Source organism: Homo sapiens, chromosome 3 (genome assembly GCF_000001405.40).
Source record: "Homo sapiens chromosome 3, GRCh38.p14 Primary Assembly".
NCBI lineage: Eukaryota > Metazoa > Chordata > Mammalia > Primates > Hominidae > Homo > Homo sapiens.
Genome location: NC_000003.12, coordinates 104333369 through 104361367, shown reverse-complemented (window position 1 = coordinate 104361367; position 27999 = coordinate 104333369). Strand labels below are relative to the sequence as shown.

General features: G+C 32.3%; 1 long non-coding RNA gene across 2 annotated transcripts in view; it reads left to right on the top strand.

Annotated features, from left to right (window-relative positions):
• Window positions 1-27129, top strand: part of LOC105374020 (uncharacterized) — a 122436-nt gene extending 95307 nt beyond the window's left edge. Inside the window, exons 4-6 of one of the 2 annotated variants that reach the window (XR_924300.3) lie at window positions 37-3659; window positions 23024-25236; window positions 26224-27129. This is a non-coding gene — a long non-coding RNA (uncharacterized LOC105374020). Of the gene's footprint in view, window positions 1-36 lie in introns of both variants that reach the window. The other variant, XR_924301.3, reaches the window with a different exon arrangement.
• Window positions 27130-27999: the final 870 nt, after the last annotated feature.

The window sequence follows — 27999 nt, the reverse complement described above, 5'->3', positions numbered from 1 at the left end:
TTTCCTCTCTTATGACTTCTCTTTTTTCTCATCTAGTGCCTGCTTGGTTTCCTAGAATATCTTCTCCATAAGACATGAGATTCAAGCCTGGGATATTGTAGTGAAGAAGAGAGAAAGAGAATGGCAACACCTGAGTTCCAGGAGTCAGCCTGCTAGTAGTAACAGCTAAGTCTTGGTGTTGCTATGGGGTGGTCTGGCTCTTCAACTAGGCTTTGATATTCTTCTATTGGACATAAACAATCTCAGAAAACGTTAATATCAGACAAGGCTATTCTGTCACCATGATAGACCAAGACTAAGGCAAGACCACTTCATAATAATTCCTGTACAAAGGCAAAATATGAACATTGTCCACATCAAATAAGTGACTAAACATTTCTTTAAACCAGTTAATACGAGTGAATGCTATTTCCTTATGAAACAGTGTTAGACTTGCTCTCATCTATCTCCCTTCTAGATTAAACTCAGTCATAGAATTGTCTAAACTTTATGATAGCATCCAATCCAGAGTAAGCCCACTTCTTTCAATCCTCCCGAAAATCACTAAAGCAAAGTTCAGATAGAGTAAGTCATTTCTAAAACCCATTTACAGAGATGCTCCACAATTCCCCATGATGTGCATTGTCCTTTGCTACGATGGGAAATTAACTCAACTTGTTCAAATACAGGTGTGTTCTTTTTTCTCCTTAGTAGAGGGCATTGAATACAAGAGAGAGAGAAGAGAACACAAAGCAGTTTCAGAAAAACACCCAAAATAAATCACAAGAAGTATACCCAAAATACTTGAAACTTTTCTTGTGTTCCACCAAAATCTCTAAATCCCAGAGTATATCCTTGAATTTCAATTCCATCATGTTAGAATTTATTTTCAAAGATGGAGGATAGAGTAAATGGTCAATGCTTCTCTGGTGCAGAGAGGGGTCTTCTTAAATATACCCCTAACTTTATGTCCCATTGAAAAAAGTAATAAAAGTAAATTAATTAAGAGAATATTGACCTCTGAAAAAATTGCTTGCTCCTTCTTACAGATATTTATGTCAGAGCACAGGGAATAGTATTTTATCACCTTCCTGACTTTTTATTCCCATTGCATAAATCTGTCAGTGAGCAAGCTCTATCCCCAGCTGGGCTGGTCTAGCTACAAAATAAGACAGGCAGATACCAATGCAAAACTGTGGTTTATTTTTGAAAAACTTTTACCTCTGCTTTCATTTTGGCTTTTAATAAGTTTGACAATTCTCAGCATTTTTTTTTTTTGCTTTTTTGTCCAAATTTCCTGCCTGATGGGGAAGTCTGAGGATGATTAATGTTCAAGAAAGTTGTGAGGAAATGTGCCACCCAAGTTTAATGCATTATTATTTTACTAAATCACAATTTTCTTGGTGTCCATATCAGTAGCCTAACCTTATGCAGTAATAACTGATTCAGACTTCATTTATAAAACGGAAGGGAAAAATGCAAGAATAAAAAGGAAGAGAATTCACAGCAGAGCAAAGAGAAATTACTGCCATATGAACTCTAACACTGTAGCATTCTTTCACGGTCTGGTACTTTTTAATCTTGAGTCATAGATGGAAAAATAAAGGAAAAAAATTGAGGCACAACCATTCTACAGTAGGCAAGGCAATTGAGATTGCTTGGATTCATTACTCTGAACTCCAGCAAACAGCTACAGAATGCCTAGAATTCCCCAGACATGACTATTACAGCTCTCTGTGGTGGCTCAACAGACTTCGTTTTCAGATAGGTTATTTGGAGCACCAATTTTCTTTCTAAAAATCTTTGTTTTGGCCTTGATTTGGAAATAACCTATGACCGTAGTATTTATTTTTCTGCTTAAGAATTCATAGAGAATTTTGGTTTGGGCAGCATGACAACTTTTACTTAATAAAAATATGAGAAAAATATATAGTTATATAGGCTGATTCCTTTTCACAATAACTCTACTGAGCTCATATAATTCAATCTAGTTTATTTGTTTTTGTTTTCATTTTTCTTTATGTCTCTGACTGAGGCCCAGTGGGCACACTCAATTTGGAAGGGTTTTAGAAAACATGGCTGAAAAATGATGAATTACGTATGTATTAAATTGATGTTCACAATTTCCTGTAAGTATAATCTCTTTTCATGAAAGTGATGACTCTTTCATAATAGCTGAACTTTATAAACACACGCACACACAAACTAAATTAAATTAAATTAAATATGTCCAGGTAATATTTCTAAATATATATAGAAAGTTAATCTAAATTCTAAATACCTTGTTGATGTATGCAGTATTTTAAAGTCATTTGGGGGATAACAATTCTGGCATTGTCCTATAGCAACAATAAAGAGAGGCAGTTTAAAAACAGCAATGTAAAGAAGGATTTCAAGCCAACATTAATGGTGTGATTTAGTCAAGCCCTTTTTATTGTGGAATTTTATAAACCATTCAAAATTATACTTATAGCTAACATTTCAATATATTAAAAATGCTCACAATAAAAATTAATTTCTAAAAAGGCAAATGAATGGAGGATGCATATGCAATATGTCCTTAACTATAAATATGTTGAAAGATGAGAGATCATGTGGCTGATAGGCCAGTTGATACATAATAAAAAGAATAAATATAAAGAGACAAAGAGAGAAAAAAAGGAATAAGAAAGGAAGAACATAAAGGAAGAAGGAAGAGAGGGAGAGAGGAAGAAAGCAATAGACGGAGGAAAGGAAAAGGTAGGAGGAAAAAAGACAAAGCTAGCAGGAAACCAATATATATATAATAAATATTAATGTTAAGAATATATTAATTAATGGAAGTGTTAATGATCTGTGAGTGGTCTGCCCAGATGTGATTCTTACTATACTATTACATAGCCCAAATTTTCTTAATTGGACATACATTTTCTGTAGCCAGAAAATTAAAATATTAATTTCAGAAAAAAATTGTTATTTCTATCCTCTAAATGCATGCCCCAATGAATAATAGTCAAATATTAAAATTACACACACAAAAGTTGTGAAATAGAAGACTATATATATTTTTTCATTAACATAAACAGAAAAATTCCTACTAGCTCTTCACATCAGGATTTGTATGACCCATTAACGTGTTCAAATGCAACATTGCTCATTAAAGGAAGAGTTCTTACAACTCAATTCAAGGTAATTATTATTTTTATTTTCTTTGTACTAATGTCATTTTGAATAAAATATATTCATCATTAAAACTTTTATGAGCTCCTACAAGTGCAAAAGAAAAGAATTTTGATTGATGTTTCTGACTGTTGAATGTTAACCTCTATCCTAAAGATTGCTCACACATAATGGAAAAGTTAATTCCCACTACAGTGGTAATATTCATTGTACAGATGAGGGGACAAACATTATGGTATACACTAACTTCTAGCCTGACATGGTATTTCCATTAATCTGAATCTATCATTAGTCTTTACTTTGGAACCTAAGCAAAACTGCATCAACACTTACAGGTGGATCATAAAGACAATTGTGAAAATCAGTACCTGGATTTTCAAAAATGTTTAATTGATACTTTCAATATTCTTTTTTGAGATATTTTTCCTCTTCCAGGCAATAAGGCCCCAGCAACTGACCTCACAGGAATAGTCCCTTGCTTCCTAGCTTGGCAGCACCCCACACTGTTGGTCTTGCAACAGGTATGCAGATACACACAAAATGAAAAAAAAGCACAAGACAGAGTGAATGGATGTATTTAGGTCCTGGTTACTTGACTATAATTTGTGAGATAAAGTATTTCTAAAGAGTATTTTCCACAATTCATCCAAGTCTCTGTTTCAGCATCCTAATTCAATATTTGTACTTATTAACCTACAGACTTGGATAACAAAAAACTCATTTAAAAATAGAAAAGTAGCTCATAATTTTAAAGAATATAGAGAAGGCACAATGAAAATGAAAATATATAATATCTTCACTAGCCAGGGATAACTGTTATTCCTCCAGCCAGAGATAACTTTTATTATATTTTTAGATAATTATACATCCTTACAATTTTCTATGTCTTAGTTTTATATAAATATGTGTTTTATATCACAAAAGTTTAAATCTTTAATATTTAAAGAGGTTTAAAACACTGGTGTTTTCTGCAAACAAATTATGTCATAAAATAATTTTCATAGTAAAATGCATGCTATTTTAATTAACTTTGTAATGTTACCTTAGATGTATAAAAATGTATTTAAACAAATCCCTTCTTATTTAAATTTAGCTTACTCTTGGATTTTCCAGTTTATTTACCACATACTTATTAATATGTACTATAGTTATTTAATAATGTATTTACTATTATAATTAGCATTGACACTGAGACATGTTTTTTCACAAATATTTAGTGTTTTACAGTTCAATTTTTATAACATATAATTAGTGAATTGTACGATGTAGATATTGAATTTTTGAAATTATTTTGTATGAATAGTTTTACATATTTATGATACTAATCTCATGTTTTAAATTTGTTGCAAATGGTTTTCCTGATGTTTGTCTCCTCTTAAAGACTATGGTCTTTCTTCATATAGACTTTAAAAAAAATGTTATGTACTCAACTGACTTCTTTATTAAATATATTGTTTCCTAGCTTATGATTATATAGATATTTACCTATATGGACTTCTGATGATATATATATATATTTACATATTATGATATATTGAATATTTAATACAGCTGAGTTTTGCTTTGGCATTAAGTATAGGATTAACCTCTATCCTTTACCCACTAAAAAGAAATGTTATCTTTATATTATATGTTTCAATATAAATTCCTAAATTTAAACTTAATGTGATTATTCTATATATATAACTTGACAGTAGTGTCCATTTATTTGATTAAAATAAAATTTTAACCTCATTTATTACATAATAAATTAAGACTTTCCATCACATTTTCTTACACAAATCTTTATATTTCTAGATAAACTTAAAAATCATTATTTTCCAATTCTAAAAATCTAATAAAATGTTCATTATAAATCTAACAAATAGGCTAACATTAGAAGTAATGCATCTTTGAAAATATTAATGCAAGCTATCCCATTGCATGTATTTAAATTATCTTGTTTAATAGTTAGATTCCTGTTCTCTTTACATAGAGCATATTTAGATGTGATTAAGTTTCGTATGATTTTGAGCAACGTTTTCTAAAGAGATTTTTTCATCATCTTATATATGTCTTGTTTTGGAAAGTTGCATTAAATTTGCAACTGGCTAATTTATTTTCTTTTTTGAGCTGATTAGGCAATTGTATTAACATTGAAATGTTTTTCCTGTTTTTGATTTTTTAAATTATTTTGTTTTCTTGTGTTATTGATTTAGAATGAGAGCTCACGTCTTGTCTTGTTCTTGATTTTTAATACAAATGATTTGATCAATGGAAGATATAAACATTAACCATGACTACTGCTTTTGGCTTGATATAAGTTTTATTTTATTATGTTGGAGAAATAGTCTGTTCTGGTTTTATTGTTTTGCCAGGAATGAATGTAGAATTTGATCAAATCTATCTTTAGCTTATTTCAATATAATTTGCAGCTAATGAATTCTCTAATTGGATCATCCTTGAATTTTAGGGATAAATACTAGTTCTTCCTGTTATATTTATTTTTTTGCATGCTACTTAATTTAATTCAAAATATACAGAGTTAATATGCTTTTATTTTAATGCCATCCTCTGCAAGTTAGTAAGAAATATGCTGAGTTCAAAAATGCAATGGCAAATCCTTTTGGCTGATCCATGTGCTGAAGCAATTCTAATCATGTAAACTTAATCTACTGCCTAAAAATTCTACAGAAATCTCTTATAAAACAGTTTTAACTCAGTATCATTATAGGTGTATTGGAAGATGGTTTGCTGTTGTGTTGGTTGTTTTTCTCATATAGTTAGTGAAATACTTAAATTGTATTTCTCTAATTAATTCGGCTTTGATCAATTGTATTTTCTCACAATATCGTATAATTTCCTATGAGTTTTAATATGTATTATTATTTGATATAATCTCCTATTGTTTGTAAAATATATTTGATCTATACAGTTATATCATATTAATAATTCACACTGGCAATTGTTTGTGATTATATTTTAATTTATTCTTGATTACTTTGTAAGAAATATCTCTAATATTTTCAGTGTTTAAAAGACTTGCTTTCCAGATTTGTCATTTGTCATTTCTTTTTCCTAAATTGCTCATGTTGTCTTTATTGTTGCAATTATTCTATATTATTTTTGTTTTTTTGCTATGCATTCTCTTGTTTACTTAGTTGGATGTTGGATTTGAAGAATTTATTCTCTTTTGATATTAAAAAATTTAGGATTATGATTTTCTTTACAGGTATATTTTTGCCACATCCCATAATTTTGTTTGCACTGCTATTTTTTTACTTGATTTTATTTTTGACTCATGACTTGCCTTTTTTATCCTTTTTCTTTTATTTAAAAAATTTGGTTTGTTTCTATTGCTTTCCTTTTATATTCATCATTGTTCTTTTTTTAACTTTTATTTTAAGTTCAGGGGCACATGTGCAGGTTTATTACATATGTAAACTTGTGTCATGGGGGTTGTACAGATTATTTCATCACCCAGATATTAAGTTTAGTACACAGTAGTTGTTTTTCCTGATCCTCTCTTTCCTCCCAGTCTTTCCCTCCAAAGGTCCCAGTTTGTTTTTCCCCTCTATGTGTCCATGTGTTCTCATTATTTAGCTCCCACCTATAAGTGAGAACATCCGGTATCTAGTTTTCTGTTCCTGTGTTAGTTTGCTAAGGATAATGGCCTCCATGTGAAAAAAAAATGTCAACATCACTATTAGAGAAATGCAAATCAAAACTACAGTGAGATACCATCTCACACCAGTCAGAATGGCTATTATTATAAAGTCAATAAATAACAGATGCTGGCAAGGTTGTAGAGGAAAAGGAATATGTGTACACTGTTGGTGGGAGTGTAAATGAGTTCAATCATTGTGGAAGACAGTGTGGCGATTCCTTAAAGACCTAAAGACAGAAATACCATTGGACCCAGCAATCCCACTACTTGGAATATACCCAAAGGAATATAAATCATTCTATTATAAAGACACATGCATGTTCATTGCAACATTATTCACAATAGCAAAAGATGTGGAATCAACCTACAAACCCATCAATGATAGACTGGATAAACAAAATGTGGTACATATACACCATGGAATACTATGCAGCCATGAAAAAGAGTGAGATCATGTCCTTTTCAGAGACATGGATAGAGCTGGAGGCCATTGTTCTTTTTTATGTCATGATATTTTGTTGTCTTAATAGTATTACTGAAAACTGTGAGCTCTTGAATTAATTTGTGGGAAATGAATCACATGTTAAGTACTCAAGTATATCTGAAATCTATTTATTAATGTTACTATCATTTAGATTATTTACTACTACTCAATGTGAAGAAAATGAGGATAAAGACCTTTATGATGATGCATTTCCACTTAATGAATAGTACATTTATTTTCTCTCCTTTATGATTTTTCTTGATATAATTTTTCTAGCTTACTTTATTGTAGGAATATAGTATATAATAAATATAATATACAAAGTATGTTTTATTCAATGGTTTATGTTATTGTTAAGGCCTCCAGTCAACAGTAGGCTGTTACTAGTTAAGTTTTGGGGGAGTCAAAAGTTACTGTTGAATTTTTAACTGTGCAAGAAAGACATGAGTACCCCTAAACTCCATGTCAATTAAGGGTCCACTGTGTCCATAATACTTTATACTCTTCTTTAAAATACAGTGGTTCTTTTTGGCTCAGTTAACATCTTTTGCTTTAAATTCTATGTTTCTGATGCCAATTTTTCCTTTACCTCATTTTTATTTTCAGTTGATTGGCATATCTTTGATATAATTTTAGTACGTTCTTTTCCAAAATACTTTTTTTTTTTTTGTTTGAGACAGAGTCTCACTCTGTAGCCCAGACTGGAGTCCAGTGGCCTGATCTCGGCTCACTGCAACCTCCGTCTTCCAGGCTCAAGCGACTCTTGTGCCTCAGCCTTCTGAAGAGCTGAGATTACAGGCACACACCAACACACCTGGCTTTTTTTATCTACAACTTTTCAGTTGGTTGGGCAGGATGGCATATACCTGTAGTCCCAGCTACTTGGGAGGCTGAGGCAGGAGGAACACTTGAGCCCAGGAACCTGAGTTAGAGTGAGCTATGATCATACCACTATACTCCAGCCTGAGTGACAGAGTGATACCCAATCTCAAACAAACACAAACCACAAAATGTGCAATACCAGGAGTGAACCCTAATGTAAACTGTGGACTTGGTTGATAATGATGTGACAATGATGGCTTATCAATTGGTAACAGATATACCACACTGGTACATTGATGTTGCCAAAGCCTGTATATGCAGGCATGGAAAGGGTACGTGGGAATTCTGTATTTCCTACTCAATTTTGCTATGACCTTGAATTTTTATAAAAAATAAATACTTGACAATACTAACAAAAAGAAAAGAATATTTATTAAGCCAAAAACAATGGAAAACCAAAGCTAACAAAGTCCATGTTAAGGAAAAAACAATATAGAAGAAATAAATTAAGGACAATTATTAATACATCATTTATGAATAGGCTGAATATTCCAAGACAATGACTGCATTAGTGGTTAGGAATTAATTCCAACTATATGTCTTTATAAGAAAAAACAACAAAAATCTAAAAGAAAGAGGTAAAAATGGTCAAAGTAATGAATAGAGATTTCAGAAACTGGGGAAAAAACATAAATGGCAATATTAATAGCAGAAAAAGTGACATTTAAGGTCAAAAGCATTAAGTGGGAAAGTGGGACCCAGATTGACACTATGTAATAAAAAAAGGTATAATTTAGAAAAAAGATGTAAGAGTCATAAATCATTTTATATAGAACAACAGCAGTGGCACATAAAAAAGAAATATTCCTAGAAATACACTGAAGACCTGACAAAAACATAATTATAACTGGTGACTTTTAAATATGTCTTTCAGAACTTGACATAGTTAAAATAGAAGTAAAAATAGTGAGTATATCAATGAAAAAATCAACCTTAGCCCTTTGGAGCCCATTTCTTTTGAATATACCAAATGTGACCCTTTCCTGGAGCTTTTGGCAACCAATTCCCTCATTGCTCTCCCTAATTTACCAATTTTTTAATATGTAGATCACTCTGATTTTCCTTATTATAAATTTTATCATTAATAATGTTTATATCTATTATGATTCATACTGTGTATCCTGAATATCTGAGATAGGTCTCAGTTAATTTAGAAAGTTTATTTTGCCAAGGTCAAGGATGCATACCCATGACAAAGTCTCAGAAGGTTCTGATGATATGCCCCAGGTGGTCAGAGCACAACCCAAGGAAAACCAAACATCGTTTCATATTTGAAAATGTTTCCTATATAATTTTATACCAAATAAGCCAAATTATGTCATTTTTGTACTTTAGGGAACCTAATATCTTAAAGAATTAATTAGGTAAGAAAAATACATAATTTATAATTTAATTTTGGAAAGTTTGTCAAATATCAGAGGTTTAAAACACTTGATATCACAGGTCATTGTCAAATAAGTCATTCCTTTGACCATAGTGATAACTGAGGATTTCCAAAAAAAAAAAAAAAAAAAGGCCTTCATTCTTTGAGAGAGGAGACTTAATTTTCCAAACAGTAAGCCTTGAAAAAAGAAGCCAAGTAAATTTGTTTTTCAAAATTGTATAAAAAATCTATAAAATTTTCATCTTGACCATAATATATAAGTTTCATAAGCCTTTTATAACCTTTATAACCTTTATTAAGGAGTCAGTTAGTGCTTCAAGAAAACCTTGTTAATCTGACACAGGGGCCCATATGCTGGTCTTGCATGAGTATGCCTTTGACATAATGATTAATTTATAGGGAAATTGAACTTATTATATCTCTCAAAATTCACTGTCACAATCTCACACACCCACCTCTTCCATGATAGTCTCTGGATCTTGAGGAATTGCATAGCTTTAATTTCTGGCCCTGTATCTTAAGAATGCAGTTTACTCTGATTGGTGTCTTCCACTGGACCTGATGATAAGTGTTTAATTGTTGTCAGTGTTTAAGATTTAGCAGAATTTGGTGCCCTTTTTAAGATCCAAGAGTCAAAGCCCCATAAGTCAATGTCACAAGTACTTTAAAAGCACATACAGAATGATACACGAATGTGATAACCTTAATTTAAGAATTTTTTTAATCTTAGTTTTTTTCCTAAGGGAACCAAAACATAATAATAATGGAATAGGAATTGTTTTGATATATCTTATAATCTGTTAGGCCAGTTGCCAAAAGGCAAAAGAAAAGACCTTCTGCAATGCACAGACTATTAGGTTGGAAGAAAAAATTTCCTTTAATCCTTTAAGAAACCATCATTAGCATTAGGCCACAATGAGCAGAACTCAAGGAAAAAAACTTATATGAGCTGAAAATTAGTTGAAGGACAGCGTTGCTATTTCACACCCTTTAAAATGAGAGAGAAAACCAAAAATGGTGAGATGAAAGAAAAGTTAAACTTTGAGTTTAAAAAATTAAAATCTTTCATAATTTATTAAGAACAAATCAATCTCTTAAGAAATTTTTTTGTTCTAACCAACTATTTAGTAATAAGTGTTTTTTTTACATTCACCTCAATCTCTAGAAAGATCATTATAATTTTCCTTTAATTATCAACAACTTGATTATATGAAAGTTTTATTTTTTTAATAAAGCCTCTTATTGTTACACAGACCATTCATGATACACTTGGACTTCCTGGTTTGTCCTGAACATTCTTCTTTCTTAAACAACCAGTCATTTTATTACAAGACTAAATTTACCATAAAAGATTCTTTCTCATAAAAAATTATTTCTCTTTAAGCTTACTTACCAAAAAAATCCTCTTTATTCATATAACTTTCTTTACTTCTTTCTTATTTCCTGTTTCCTTTTACCTTGTTTTAAACATAACCTTTAAATAAGCCTTGAATTAAACAAAAACACACATTTTCTGACAAATAGATTTTATTAAAAAATACTCAAATAGTGAAATATCTACTATTTAATTTAATATAACTTTAGTTTCTAAATCATGAATTTGTCTATAAGTATTTATCTCATTACATTTACATAATTTTTTATTGTAATTTTTTACATAGATTATTTATAAAAAATTAGAGTCAGCATCTAAAGTTATGAAACTGCTATTGCAAAATTATAAGCGACAGTAAAAAAGATCTGACTTAACTGACTTCATCTTGAATTTAACCTCCAAGCTGACCTTGTTCATTCCTGGCATAGGCCAAACTAACTTTGGGAGGAACTTGGTTTATAGTTTAGATTTGAACAAAGATAATAGCAGCCCTTTCCCACAGCAAATCTTACTGCCTGTGGACTAGACTGCCTAAAGCCACATTAGAAGTTATGGTAATTTTACTAAATTTAAGATGTAGCTATTTTCATTAAACCAATATCAAGATCTTACTAATTAAAAATTACACAAGCAAACATCATTCTGTTTTGGGCTTGGTTTATAGTTTTGCAACCCCTATGCCAAATTTTGATGCCAACAAAAATGTATACTGGCAATTCTGAAGATGTTTCTAATATTATTATACTTCACCAATAATTTTAAAGTTAGCTTATCTATTAAAGATTTCACTTAAGTTATGTACACTTGAAAAAGCATTTGACTAGTCTTTTCTTTTTTTTCTGATAAAGTATTTGATTCAAGCACTTTTATTTTATTAAGTTGATTAATTAGAATTACTTTATATATTTTTATTAATGAAACATTGTGTGCATAACACATAAATACATAGATATATTTGGCATGCTGGTAAAAGTACATCTTATAAATTCATAAAAACCTTCTTTTTTCCATCTTAGGCTTCAAATTCTTCATAACGTGTTTCAATAGGTAACCTGTATCAATTCTTGGTAACCCTAGGCAGTTGTCAGCCAAATAGCCTTAAATTTGCATGCTAAAAGAAAGAACTCAGGTGAAAATCAAATAGCAAAATTTACATCATAAGATATGGTGAGAGAAAGTCTGGTGTGCTGAAGAGAAATTAAAACTGACTTAATTGCCAATTAAACATGAAATTATAGAAATTATAAAGGCCTTCTAAATAAACACACACACACACACACACACACACACACACACACAAAGATTCTATAGCTCTTACTTTAGAGATGTAGGCATGAGATAAATACAAATTCACCAGCTTGCAAATAAATAACCTGTTGGATACAAACAGTGGTTTTTATCTTAATAGAAAAATAACAGCAGATTTAAAGCAGGCAGAAAAGAAAATAGAGCAAAAAGAGAACTTAGAAACTCTATCATTTGCAGAGTGACCTTAGGGTTCTTTTTTCTTAATGTAACTGTGCATAAAGACCATATTATTTCCATTTCACATAAACTCTGGCAAGTAGAGGTGCCATAAAACCTACAGAGTGCTTGCAAGGGGGTCACTCTTCTTTTTTTCTCCTCATTCATAGATTATTTGTTTCCCACTTTTTTTTTTCTTAAAAGGAGGAATTGAGCTGTGGCCTAGGGTGTTTGTGTGGTGGACTGATGTGTGCTGCTTGTGAGCAGGACTCCACAGTGTATCACCACTACGTCATTTCCATCCTCTTAGGTGTCTCAATTTCTCTCTCCAGAGGTCTATGACCTCTGAGAGGGCTCAAAACACTGAGTGATCAGCCCTTACATGCGTTTCCTGGACGATCCTGTTTTTAAAAAGTTAATTTTTGTTGGGAATTTCCCTGCAGGACCACTGGATGTTGAGTGGGGTCAGGCCCCCTGGACCCTCCCATGAGGCCCTCAGTCACCCAGGGGTGCCTTTTTGGCAGGGAGGAGCAAAACGTCCTTTTTTTCAAAGCTGAGGAAACTCAGCCTCTCATTTACCTATGAAAACAAGAGTTTGGTTCCTCATGCAAATGTGCACAGACAAGCCAAATTTTGGGAGAAAAAGCAAGCAGAGAAGACCCTTCAGAATGCATCTTCGAACTAGAATTAGGATCCTTAAACAACAACTTTCCAGGAGGAAAAGAAACAGCAGGCAAGACCACTATCTATAAACTGTTCTCAGCCACCCCTACTTTATAGCTCTTGTCAGCCACTACACACACCAAAGTCAAATTCTCTCACAGTACAAGGTAGTCTTTGGTATCCCCAAAGCCAAAGAGGTCAGATCATGCAATACAGAAAAACAGCTTTACATCTAAGCAGAATCTACCCATGACTTCTGAAACTCCAGAAAGAAAACAGAACACCTCCAAAGGGGTGAGTGGCACCTTTGTTCTGAATTCCTTAAAGGGGTGCAAGTCATTAGAAGCCTTCTCTAGATTTTTGGTACTACAGATGGCAAGAGGGGGAAGGAGGTGGAAGAAAAGTAAATGAAAAAACTTTTTTTTTTTTTTAAGACAGAAAGCAAACACAGAAACAAACTGGATTTTTGAGGGGTTTTGGTTGTTTTTTGTTTTTTTTTTTCCTCTTTTGGAGCTGTGAGGAATTTTAGCAAAATTAGAGAGGCTTTGTTATTCATAATTCTGAGTTCTCTCTCAGATTTGACCAAGTCAGGAAGAGTTGGTCAAATCTGAAGAGAGAAAGACCAGAACAAACAACAACAAAAAACCAACAATATAATCACTGAGCACTCTAATGGTGAGGAGAAATTAAGACCAGCTGGTTGTTAACTTTAGCCAAGACAAAACCCCAATTCACCTGCTTACCAAGGGATAGGTCTCAGGCTGAAGATTATCCTTTACCATCCTGGAAAGAGGAAAAATAACTCAAACTTATCCTCCCCTCTGGGAGCAAACTCAAACTCCAGTTACTTGCCAGATTACCATAGAAACAGGAAATCTTATCTTCCTTGTTGGAAGCAAGTAAAACTTTAAAAATAAAGAGAGTTGTACAGCAAAATAAACTTTATTTTGGGAGATCAGGGAGTCTCTGGAAGGGTGCTCCCAGACCTTAGCAAATTGTCCTATTTGTTTGAGCCATAAAGTTAGCTCGTGCTGGTACCCAGCACTGATAGGAAATTTGTCAAAGGTCAGAGGTACATCCACTCAGAATCTCCTTGTTGTTACCAAAATGTGAACCTTCAGTGTCTGAGGCAGGTCTCAGTTAACTGAGAAAGTTTATTTAGCTTGAGGATGGGCACCCAAGACACAGCCTCAGAATGTTCTGACTACATGTGTCCCAGGTGGTCAGAGCACAGTTTAGTTTTATACATTTTATGGATACATGAGATATCAATCAACATATGTAAGATGAACATTATTTTGGTCCAGAAACGTGGGACAACTTGAAGCAGAAAGGAGCTTCCAGGTTATAGGAAGATAAGAGACAAATGGTTGCATTCCTTTGGGTTTCTGATTAGCCTCCCCAAAGGCGACAATCAGATATGCATTTACCTCAGTGAGCATAGAGGTGACTTTGAATAGAATCGGAGGCAGGTTTGCCCTGAGATGTTCCCAGGTTGACTTTTCCATTTATCTTAGTGATTTGGGAGCCCCAAGATATTTTTTCTTTCACAATATAGTCTAAAATTCTGATTTTGTTGATCATTCTGTATTCATAGATAATGCCCTCCACTTCATCTTGTGTGTCTATTCCTGTACATACTGTACCTCATCATCACCAGAAATTTTACTGCCCTCATTATCTGGATTTGGAGTATCCCACTCTCTAACAACACCTCTACTTTCTTTTCAGTTTTTTTTTTTTCCTAGCATACCAACTATGAAACTCCTTTACACTGTGAAGGTTCTCGAATCCAGTAATATCAAAACTTTTTCTTGTTCATCATTTATTTCCTAATCTTCTATTCATGCAAGTTAGAATGCTTGAAGGAAATTATAGTCACTCTCCTGCATATAATCTCAAATTTTTCCACCTGCAGTCTTACTTACTTGGGAAAATTTCACTATTTGTAATAAAACTCATAACTTTCACCCCTGCCTACCAACCCCTAAAGCAGCTAAACAGGAATGCAGAAAACAAATATCTTATAATGGTACTATGCCTGTGAATTGTTCTAATTATTTTATATATGTGAATTCATTTAGTCCTATCAACTAACCTATAAAATATTTATAATTATTATCCAGATCCATCTCAATTAAGAATGTAAATGCAAATGTACAAAATAAAATACTTGCACTAACAAGGGTATCAAATACATTTTTTGTAAGTGGAGTACTTATTTCAGAGGAGGAAACATTGGTTTCCACCTCACTTCAAGTTTCTTTGGTTGGACTATAAATTAAATTAACATAAACAGATTAACAAGAGAAAAACCATATTTAATTGCATGGGGTTCCACAAAATATGAGACTTAAAGAAAGGTCAGATGATTGAAGCTGATACAGCATCTTGAGCTACAGAGGGGAATAGTGACTTAGGGCTTTTGTTGGGTGATGGAAACAAGTTTTTGGAGGGTGATGGAAGAAAAGAAAGAAAGAAAAGAAAAAAAAGAAGAAGAAAAGAAAAAAAAGAAATGTATGGAGAATAAATGTTGTTTTGTTATGCAGGTAAAAAGTATGTCAGGCAATAAAAGTTCACTGGTAGCAGCCCTATTCCTGAGACAAACATTTTACTAATGTAGATTATCTTCACAGATATATAAATTTCTGTTTCAAAAGGGCAATTTTGAGAGATACTCCTGTGTCTTCAGTTTCTAAGACTAATTGGATCAAAATATATCAAGTAAGTATATTTTGGAGTAGCAGAGCTGGTCTGCTACAATCATACCAAAGTATGTGTATTGAGGGTGATGTGTACTGAGCCTCAACATTGTCATGCGCTTTAATAATAATGACGGTGTGATTATATATGGATACTATTTTGCATATTAATTTATAACAATACTTTATGATGGATATGATTTATATCCTAGTCAATTGCTATTAATATACCTTATGAAAAATAGCATTTATTTCAGGAATGCAAGGTAGTAACATCAGGTAATGTAGCAATATAATGAATTACAGCAACAAAAAGAAGAGAAGGTATTTACTTTTGTAACATATGCTTAAAAAGTCACCTGAAAAAAAACTCAGTCCTTATTACACTGAGATAGGTATAACTCATTCTTATCTATAACTTCATAAAGTTTTACATGATAAATCCAGTAGATTTTCTCCTAATCTTACTTACAAAATAAAAATTTACATAAAATAGGATTAGAAGCAAACTGTATTAATGTGTCTAAATATTTAATAAAAACCCAAATATAAAGGCCATTTTAATGTAAAAAATCCCAAAGGTATTATATAAAATTCCAGAAGCAAAAAAAGATACTTTTTATCATCATTATATTTCAACACTGTTTGGCAGTTTTTAGGTAAAAAAATTGAACAAGAAAATAAAATAATTATCAAATATATCATAAAAGAGGAATAATAACTCTTCATACTTGGAGATAATATGATAAAGATAATCTACCCTTCTATAATTAATAGGCTGATTTGGTAAGGTAACTATAGGAATTTTTTTATACTAATCATAATGAGTTAAAAATAAAATTGGTAAAAAAATCTCATTCACAATAGTGCCCCAAACTATAAACCACTTAGATGCCATTAACAATAATAGTATTTTTATGAAAAATAGTATAAAATATTATTATGTGACACAAAATAAGATCAAAACCAATGAAAAGTGTTAGCATAATCATCTGTATCAAAGTCATTAGATAAATTTTCACATATATTATGCAGCTATTAAATACTATGGGTTAGTTCTATATTAATTACCTTGTAGTAATTTTTAAATGTAATTTATGTGAGGAAAACAAGTTGAAGAAATATTATCTCTTTAAAAGTCAACTATGTAAGATGACATTAATATTTAAAAGCAGATGCTGACCATTTTAATGAATAAATCAATGAATATGGTATCCTTAAGATATTAGGAATTTGCACAAGAATTTATTTATAAAAGAATGATAAATGTATAGACTACCAGCTATTAATCTTGGAGACTGCTTATTCTAAGAAGGAGAAGATAGAAAGGAAAGAATATCATAGAAAAAAATGTATTGTTCACTAGGAAAGTTTTTGTGGAACATGTTTTTAGGTTTTCCTGAAATTTTAATTTTGATTTTCTTTGTTTTCCCATTTCCATTAGCCTTTAATCAGCCTGCTCACTTTTGGATAAAATACTGCTCCATTTTGGACTGATTGCTTTCTATAAGGAATAATATCATCACTGAAAATAATTCTCAATTTCCCTGACTCAGTTTTTCAAAGTTCAAGTTTTACTTGCATGCAGTTTTCTCCATCAATTGCACAGAAACAATCACCTCTATTGCGAGTACTATAGCAATTCCTGTTACAATCTGCTATTTTATGAATGTATGAAATACTAAAGAAAGCTAAAATTATTACTGGTCTTTTTGAGAATAAATTCCACAAAATATTTTTTGTCTATAATTATCCTTCAATAAAGCAAAGCTTTAAAATGAACAGAAACCAAAAAATGCAATATATCACGTTCCTGCAGCCAGGGGTGGTGTTTTACTTTTTTCTGTCTTCTGGAGTTGAAGTTCATTAATACTAAAATAAATTTTAACATTCAGTGACGTTATACTATATCTATTATTCCAGCTGTATAATAGGAACTCTCTTAATTACTTTTGTTGAGTTGCCAGGGATTTCCAATTTCCTCTATCTAGCCATCAGCTTTAGGAAGTTGGAAATTAATCCCAGTAATGTACCTCACCCAACTTTTACTGTTATTTTTTGGAATTTTCTCCAATACCACATTGTTTCAGGTAGTTAGGCATGAGCAGGGCAGGGGAGGGCTTTCCCAGTCCCACTGGAAATGTCAGGTGATGGTTTGGCAATTATCAGTTTGCCTCTCTAAAAATAATAATTCAACAGCCAAGAAGAGACAATCTCCTGATGATCCACACTTGTTAACATTAAACGTGTTAATTGAATGCAGACCCCAGGGAGAAGAGGCCTCTTGGGCATGTGTGTTAAGGGACAAAACAGTGAAATGTGACAGTCAGGGGGCACATACCACCAGAAAAAAGGAAAAATAAAAACCTCAGATGTGCATGCGTATTACTCCCTAATCACACTGTGTGTGCTCAATTACAAAGGTTAAGGAAATCACTGCATATGCAAGAAGCCCACCCTAAGGGAAGAATCATGGGAAAGAGGTGAGCCTGTAAAGTCTAAGGATCAAGGTTAAAGGGCTTCTTCCTCTTTCCTTTTTGACCTTCAGGTGCCCACTAGAATCTCTTCCAAGGGTTTCCCTTCCTTCCTGTTCTAAAGCCTTTTAAATAAACTTTCATTCCTGCTCTAAAATTTGCCTCAGTCTCTTTTTCTGCTTTATGCCCCTCAGTCACATTCTTTCTTCTGAGGAGGCAAGGACTAAAGTTGCTATAAACCTGTATGGCTATGCCACCCTTAATTCAGGGTAACTCAGAGCTCTTCTACTGCTAACAATGTCAGGTTGGGAACTAAAGAAACTAGGAACATGCATTCATATATCTTTCTTTATTTCTCAATTATATCAAAATTCAAGTATCTCTTCTTTTCCCTCTAGATTTTCCCTTATTTTCTGATCTGCAATTTTTGCTCTAATAGCAAGATTTTATTACCAATTACTTTTTTATTGTATTATTAATTTTTTTTCCACTTTTCCTGAAGCATAATTGACAAACACATTTTATATATATTTCAGGTGCACAATTTAAAATTTTGGTATGGATGTGCATTGTGAGATGTTCATCAAAATCAAATTAATTAACATATCCATCAGGTACCTTTTTTGCATGTGTGGTGAAAACATTTAAAATCTATTCTTTTAGCAAATTTCAAGTATAAAAGACAGTATTATTTACTTATTTCAAGTAAAAGATGGTACTATTAACTATAGTCATCATATTGTATATTAGATCTATAAAATTTTTTCATCTTTCAAACTGAAACTTCGTACACTTTCACTAACATATCCCAATATTTTCCACCCCCTGTACCCTAGTAACCACCATTCTACTCTCTACTTCTATGACTTAAACTTTTTAAGATTCCCCATACAGGAGAGAAAATGCAGTAATTTTCTTTCTGTGTCTGGTTTATTTCACTTAGCATAAAATCCTAAGGGTTTATTTATGTTGTCACATAATGACAAGATCTTATTTTTATAAAACAGAGAAATATTCTGCTTTATATATACATATATATATACACACACACACACAAAGGCATACCTATTTTTTGTGCTTTGCTTTCTTGCACTTTGCAGATATTGTTTCTACAAACCGAAGTTTTGTGGCAACTTTGTGTTTAATATCTATGAGCATTGGTGATCTGTGATCAGTGATCATTGACATCGCTATTGTAAACCACAACCATATACGACAGCAAACTTAAACGTGTGTGTTGTGACTGCTTCACCAATGACAATTTCTCCATTTCTCTTCCTGTTGTCAGGCCTCCCTATTCCCCAAGACACAACAATGTTAAAATTAGGTCAATTCATATCTCTACAATAGCCTCTAATTATTAAAATTAAAGAAAGAATTGCATATCTTTCAAAATCAAAAGCTAAAATAATTGAGCTTACTGAGGAAGGTATGTAAAACACCAAAACGACCAAAAGCAAGGACTTCTGCACAGAACAAGTTAGCAAGGTTGTAAATGCAAAGAAAAGTCTTTGAAAAAATTAAAATTGCTAGTGAACATACAATTGATAAGAAAGGAAAACAGCCTTATTTCTGATATAGAGAAAGTTTTAGGGTCTAGATAAATGATCAAAGAAGACACAACATTCCCTTAAGCCAAAACCGAATTCATAAGAAGGCCTTAACTCCAATTCTACAAAGCTTGAGAGAGATGAAGAAGCTGATGAAGAAAAGTTGGAAGCTAGTAGAGATTGTCTCATGAGGTTTAAAGAAAGAAGCTATCTCCATAACATTAAAGTGCAAGGTGAAGCAGCAAGTGCTAACACAGAAGCTGCAACAAGTTGTCCAGAATGTCTAGCTAAGTGATGAAGGTGGCTATATAAAACAACAGATTTTTAATGTAGACAAAGGAGCCTTCTACTGGAAGGAGATGCTATCTAGGACTTTTGTAGCTAAAGAAGAGATGTCAATGGGCCTGACTTCAAAGCTTCAAAGGACAAGCCACCTCTCTTTTAGTGGCTGATGCAGCTCTTTACATTATGTTGAAGCCAATGCTTATTTACCATTCTGAATATATTAAGGCCCTTAGAAATCATGCTAAATCTATGCTGCCTGTGCTCTACAATAGAACAACAAGCCTGAATGACAGCAAATCTCTTTATAGAATGGTTTTCTATATTTTTAAGCCCACTGTTGAGACCTACTTCTCAGAAAAAAAAAAAAGGTTTCTTTCAAAATATTACTGCTCATTGACCAATGTACTTAGTCACCCAAGAGCTCTGATGGAGTTATACAAGGAAATTAACGTTATTTTTATACCTGCTAACACAATCTGCATTCTGCAGCCCATGGATCAAGAAGTATTTTTTTTCTTTCAAGTCTTATTATTAAAGAAATAAATTTTGAAAGGCTATAGCTGCTATAGATATTGATTCCTCTCATGCATTTGGACAAGTAAATTGAAAAACTTCTGAAGATGATTCTAGATTCCACAAAGAATATTCATAAAGAATATTCATGATTCATTGGAGGACGCCAAAATGTCAACATTAGCGGAAGTGTGGAAGAAGTTGATTCCAACACTCATGGATGACATTGTGGGGGGAAGTAACTGCACACATGGTGAAAATAGCAAGAGAACTAGAATTAGAAGTGGAGTCTGAAGATGTGAGTGAATTGCTACAATGTCATTCTAAAACATGAATGGATGAGAAGTTGCTTCTTATGGGTGAGCAAAGATATTGGTTTATTGAGACAGATTCTCTCCTCGTGGAGATTCTGTGAACATTGTTGAAATAAATCAAAAGATTTAGAATCTTACATAGACTTAGTTGACAAAGAAGTGCAGGGTTTCATAAGATATACTCCAATTTTCAAAGAAGTTCTACTGTGGGTGATATGCTATCAAACAGCATCACATGTTACAGAGAAATCTTTTGTGAAAGGAAGAGTCAATTGATGTGGCAAATTTCACTTTTGTCTTCTTTTAAGAAATTGCCATAGTGACCCCAACCTTCAGCAATCACAATCCTGATTAGTCAGCAGCCATCAACATCAAGGCAAGATTCCCCACCAGTAAAAAGATTATGACTTGCTGAAGGATCAGATCATTGTTAGCATTTTTTAGCAATAAAGTACTTCTTAAATTCAGGTATGTACAATGATTTTTTGGACATAAAATTAAGCTATTGCACACTTAATAAACTACATTATAGTATAAATATAACTTTTGTATGTACTAGTAAACCAAAAAACTTCTGTGGCTTGTTTTGTTGCAAGAGTTTATTTTTATGGTGGTCTAGAACCCAACCTGCAATATCTCCAAGGTATGCCTGAATATAGATATAGATATATGATACATATATGTATATCTATCCCATTACATTTCTTTATCAATTTACATGTCAATGGAGACTTAAGTTGTTTTTATATTTTGTGTATTATAAATAATGCTGCAATGAAAGTTAGAGTGCAGGTATCTCTTTGAGATAATAATTTTATTTTCTTTGGATATATGCTCTCTAGTGGAATTGCTGGATCATATATTAGCTCTATTTTTAACTTTTTGAGAAACTTCTATACTGTAATCCATAATAAGTGTAACAATTTGCAGTCCCAACCACCATGTACAAAAGTTACTTTTTTTCCACATCTTTGTCTTTAATATCATTCATTCTAACAGGAATAATGTGATACTACATTGTAGTTTTTATTTGCATTTTCCTGATGATTTATGGATGTAATTTTTCTGTTTTTGGTAGTGTAGAAATTTAGCAATATTAGTTCTTCTAAATCATGACCATAAGATATGTTTCATTTACATGTGTCAATGTAAATTTCTTTTCTTAATGTTTTATAGTTTTTAAGATTTAGATCTTTCAATTTCTTAGTTAAATGTATGCCTAAATATTTTATTATTTTTATTGTTATTGGGAATGGAATTGTTTTATTAATTTATTTTTCAGATAGTTTGCTGTTAAAAACATAATTGATTTTGGTATATTTATCTTGTATCCTGCAACTTTACTATTTTTTTAAATTAGTTCTAACTGTTTTTTGCTGGAGTGTTTAGGAATTTCTATAGATACCGTCATGTTGTCTGCAAGCAGACAGAATTTTATGTCTTCCTTTACAATTTGAAAGCCTTTTAAAATTTATTTCTTGCCTAATTGCTCTAACTATAGCTACAGGTGGCATGTTGGATGAAAATGGTAAGAGCAGGTATCCTTATTTTGTCCCTGATCATAGAGAAAAAAATTTCAGCTTTCGACATGAGTATAATATTAGCTGTGCAATTGTCAAATGTGACCTCTATTATGCTTAAATACATTCTTTTGGCACTTAATTTGTTGAGAGTTTTTATCATGAAAAAAATGTTGAATTTTATTAAATATTTTATATGCGTGCATTAAAATGATCATATAATTTGTATACTTTATACTACTAATTTAATGTATCACACTTGCTAATTTGTATATGTTGAACCATCCTTGCATTCAGGGGCAAATATTAATTTTGATGAATGATTTTTTAAATATGCTTTTAAATTTGGTTTGCAGTATTTTGTTGAGTTTTGTTGAATTTATGTTCATCAGGGCTAATAACATGTAATTTTTATGTAATATACTTGTCTGGCTTTGATATTAGGGTAATACTGGCCTTATAAAATTAATTTAGAAGTGTTCTTTCGTCTTCACTAATTTGGAAGAGTTTAAAAAGTTTTGGATTAAATGTTTGATTGAATTCAGCAGCTAAGCCATGTGATTATGGCTTTTTCTATTATAGCAAACTGTTTCTGATTCAATCTCTTAACTAGTTTTTGGTCTGTTCAGATTTTCTGTTTCTTCATAATTCAGTCAAGGTAAGTTGTTTGTTTCTGGATATTTGTCTGATTAAGTTAGATAACTTTTTGGGGTATAACTGTTCATAGAAATCTCTTATGATCCTTTGTATTTCTGTGGTTTTTGTTGTAATGTCACCTCCTCATTTCTGATTACCTTTATCTTCTTTTTTTTCCTGTACTAGCTAAAAACTGGTGATTTTGTTCATCTTTTCAAAAAACAGCTCTTAGTTTTATTGACCTTTTCTGTTGTTATTCTAGTTTCTAATTCCTTTTCTTCCTGCTCTGATCACTATCTCCTTCTACTGATTTTGGTCTTAGTTTGCTCTTTTTCTACTTTTTTCAGGTGTAACATTAGGCCATTTATTTTAGTTTTTTTTCCTTTATGTAGTTGTTTACTGCTATAAACTTTTCTGTTATAAATTATTTTGCTGAAACCCAAAAGGTTTGATATGTTTTCATTTTCATTTGTCTCAAAATATTTTTTATTTCTTCTTTTATTTCTTCTTTAATGCATTGACCATCCAAGAGTGTTCTTTTTAATTTCCATGTTTGTGAATTTTCCAAATTTATTCTTATTACGATTTATAATTACATATCATGGTGATAAAAAAGATGCTTCACATAATTTCTTACTTCTTAAATTTGTTAAGACTTATAGCCCAAAACAAGATACATCTTGGAGAATGTTCTTTTGTGCTTGAGAGGAGTATGTATTCTGCTATTGTTTGATGGTATTCTTTGTATGTCTTTTAGTTCCATTTATTCTACAATATTGCTTAAGTCCACTGTTTTCTTATTCATTTTCTGCCTGGATGATCTATTTATTGTTGAAATGTCCTCTGCGATTAGTGTTTGTTGTTTATTTTTCCCTTCAATTTTGTTAATATTTGCTTTATATATTGAGGTGCTTCAATGTTGGGTTCATATGTATTTATAGTTGTTATGTTCTCTTAACGAATTGACCCCTTTATCATTATATAATAATCTTATTGTCTCACATGACTTTTTTTAACATAAAGATTATTTTGTCTGATGTAAGTATAGACACTCCTGCTCTTTTTTGGTGACAATTTGCTTGAGGTATGTTTTTTCTGTCCTTTCATTTTTGACCTATGTATGTCCTTAAAGATATAGTGAGTCTCTTATAGGCAAATGTATAGTTGGATCTTATTTTTGTTTTGTTTTTGTTATCCATTCAGCCATTCTAAGTCTTTTGGAGAATTTAATCAATTTACATTTAAAGCAATTTTTGAAAGGTAAGAACTCACTATTGCAATTTTGTTAATTATTTTCTATTTTGCAATTTCTCTCTTCCTTTCTTCCTTTTTTTACTATCTTCCTTTGTGTTTTGATAATTTCTGGTAATGTTATGCTTTGATTTATTTCTCTCTGTATCTTTTGTGTATCCACTACAGGTTTTGTCTTTGTGATTACTGGGAGGCTTATGTAAAATATTTTGTAGTTATAGCAGTCTACTTTAAATGAATAAAAAATTAGCCTTGATAGCAAAGAAATATTATACTTTTATTCCCTCCTTACATGTTATTATTAATGTAACAAATTACATATTTTTACATTGTGTAACTATTTACAAATTATTGTACTGTAGGTATTTGTAATACTTTTGTCTTTTAACTTTTGTATTAAAGTGAAAGTTATTTATTCACCACCATTTCAGTATTAGAACATTCTGGACTCTAATCTTTATAGGATTAGACTATATAATTACCTTTACCTGTGAATTTTATACCTTCATACTTTTTCATGTTTCTAACTAGTGTCCTATCATTTCTTTTTTATTTCCATTTTTATTTTTTATTATTATACTTTAAGTTCTAGGGTACATGTGCACAACGTGCATGTGTCCTATCATTTCTTTTTTTTTTTTTTTTTTCTAGACGTAGTCTCGCTCTGTCCCCCAGGCTGGAGCGCAGTGGCACGATCTCGGCTCACTACAAGCTCCGCCTCCCGGGTTCCCGCCAATCTCCTGCCTCAGCCTGCCGAGTAGAGTAGCTGGGACTACAGGCGCCCGCCACGACGTCCGGCTAATTTTTTGTATTTTTAGTAGAGACGAGGTTTCACCGTGTTAGCCAGGATGGTCTCCATCTCCTGACCTCGTGATCCACCGGCCTCGGCCTCCCAAAGTGCTGGGATTACAGACGTGAGCCACTGCGCCCGGCTGTGTCCTATCATTTCAACTTGGTGAGTTAACCTTAGCATTTCTTGCAAGGCAGATGTACAAATTATGAACTGTCTTAGGTTTTGTTTATTTGTGGAAGTCTTTATCTCTCATTCATTTTTAAAGGACAGTTTTTGCTGGGAAGAGTATTCTTTGGTGACAACTTTTTCTTTCAGCACTTTACATTTATCTACCCTTTCTCCGCTGGATGGAGTTTTCTGCTGAAAAGTCTGCTGATAGTTCTGAAGAAGTTTCCATTCATGTAATGAGACACGTTTCTCTGGCTGCTTTCATAATTCTCTTTGGCTTTCACTTTTGACAATTTAATTATAATGTATCTCAGTGAAAACTTAATGTTCAGCCTATATGGAGTTTTTTGGGCCTCATGGATCTGGATGTTCAATTTTCTTCCTAGTTTTAGGAGTTTTTCTGTCATTATTTTTTAAAATAAACTTTCTTTCCTTTGTCTATCTACTCCTTCTGAATATTTTATATGTGTATATTGGTTTATGTTGTGTGCCATAAGTCAGGTAGGCTTTCTTCACTCTTTTTCATTTGTTTCTTTGTCTTTTTTGTTCCTCTAACTTTATAATTTTAAATGCCCTGTCTTCAAATTTGTGTTTTTTTCCTTCTGCGTAATCAGCTATACTGTTGAAACTCTGTAATGAATTTTTAATTTCAGTTATTGTGTACTTGTTTCTGGATTCCTGTTTTAAAATAAATTCTATTTTTAATTGAACTTCTTATTTTGTTCATGTATTGTTTTCCCAGTTTTGTTTAGTTTTCTGTGTTCTTTTGTAGTTTGTTGAGTCTCTGTAAAATGAACATTTTGAATTTTTTGCCAAGCACTTTATGAATCTTCATTTCTTTCACTTACTTACTGGAGCTTTTTTATTTCCTTTACCGATGTTATATTTGCCTCATTCTTTATAATCTATGTAGCTTTTCCTTAGCATCTATGTTTGAAGGGAAAGACTCTTCTTCCAGTCTTGATAGACTTATTTCTGCAGGTAAAGACTTCGCCTGGCTGATGGAGATCACAGTTAAGTGGGAATGAAAACAGGTTCTGTGTCCATGCCAAGTCTACAGTTGGGTTAATAGTTGGCAAGTCTGCTACCAGGGCCACATATGGTTGTGGCTTCCACCAGGCCTATGAGCAGTACTGCCTCCAGACCAAGGGAAAGCTGGACTGGAGTTGGGTCATGGAACTGCTTTAAAGACCATAGTTGGGTCCAAGGTCTGCAGGTCCTATTACTAGGAGCACACACAGGTGTGGCTCCCAAGTCCTTTGGTGGAAGTGGCTGAAGGCAGCAGTGTGTGGACTTACTTCTCAAAGAGGCACTCCTTGGCCTTGGATCTAACAATTGTTTTATAACCAGCTATTTGGATCCCAAGACTCTCACAAAGTCAAATTTGTCTGTTTATGCCACCAAATATTTGTTTCTCTGGGACGACACAGGCTTGGGACCCCCTCTTCTGCCATCCTGCTGATGGCATTCTCATTACTTTTTTAAAAAATTTGTATTCTACTGAACTTATGTTTACTTTTTGTAACCCGCATTAAAAAAATTTATTGCATTCCTTACCCTATTGCATTATTTTCTATGTATATTTGTAAGAGATCATTTGATTTCCTGACCCATCTTCTGTGAAAAGAACTATATTTAAATATATAATAATCCATAAACTTTGCACAATTTTTAATTACTTGAAAATTAATCAACTTTCCTTCATAAGTTGATAATATGGTTATGAATTGTCTGAGTGCTATTGTACAGGAGATGTGGCAGATTTCAATACTGTTGAAATATTCACTGCCCCTTCTCAGCCAATTATAATTTCCTGCTCCAAGATCTCAAACTTTGCCATGCAACTTGTTTTATTCTATAAAATGTGAATAAAAGTAACTTGTTCCACTTTCTGGGTATATCTCTGAGTTATATTTTCTTTCTCTTTGCTACATTACCTTTAAATACCAGGTAAAGGCACTGCCTTTATCCTGGGTGCTACTTAGAAATTTTTAGAGCTATAGACCTGTAAGAGACATGTAATATGAGCAAGAACTAAACATTTGCTTTACTGTAAGGATCTGAGATATACGGGCTATTTGCTACTATGGCAATCCTTAACTGACACAGTAGCCTTCTCTTTAGCTAATAGTTGTTTGCTATTTATTATATTTCTGAATTTGAAAATTATCAGACTCAGCATTGTTTTAATAATATTCAAGGATTGCACAAATCAAGGATCAAACCTAGGTTGATTATAACACGCCATCATTTCTGAAGAATTTGATCGATAATTCATAAGGGAAAATGTAACTCTTGTTAGAATGAGGGATTAGTATTTTTAAATCTCTCGTTAAATAAACTAATAGGCTTCTTACTTTAATTTTTCTTGTTACAATCTTGGTAATGTTTTTTCCCATGAATTCTTTATGGGATTCTGACTTATCATGGAACTGCCATTTGTTAGAGATAGTGAGACTAAGTAAATTTGTACCAACATGGTGAAAATGATGTGTTTTATGTGCCCAAATATTTTGTCCCAAGATACATCTGATATATCTTAGGTTATATTTATAACATCATAAAAAATAATATTTTCTTGTGTATGCCAATGCTTCAAACACTGGCTAAGAACTTCAAATGCATTATCTCATTTTGTCTCACAACTATATTAGATTGTTTACTTTTCTTTTTTACTACTAAATCTCAGTTCCAAATCAACCTTTCTCTGCTCTGTTATCCTAAGACCAGAACTTTGAAAACTTGCTGTCCAAATTT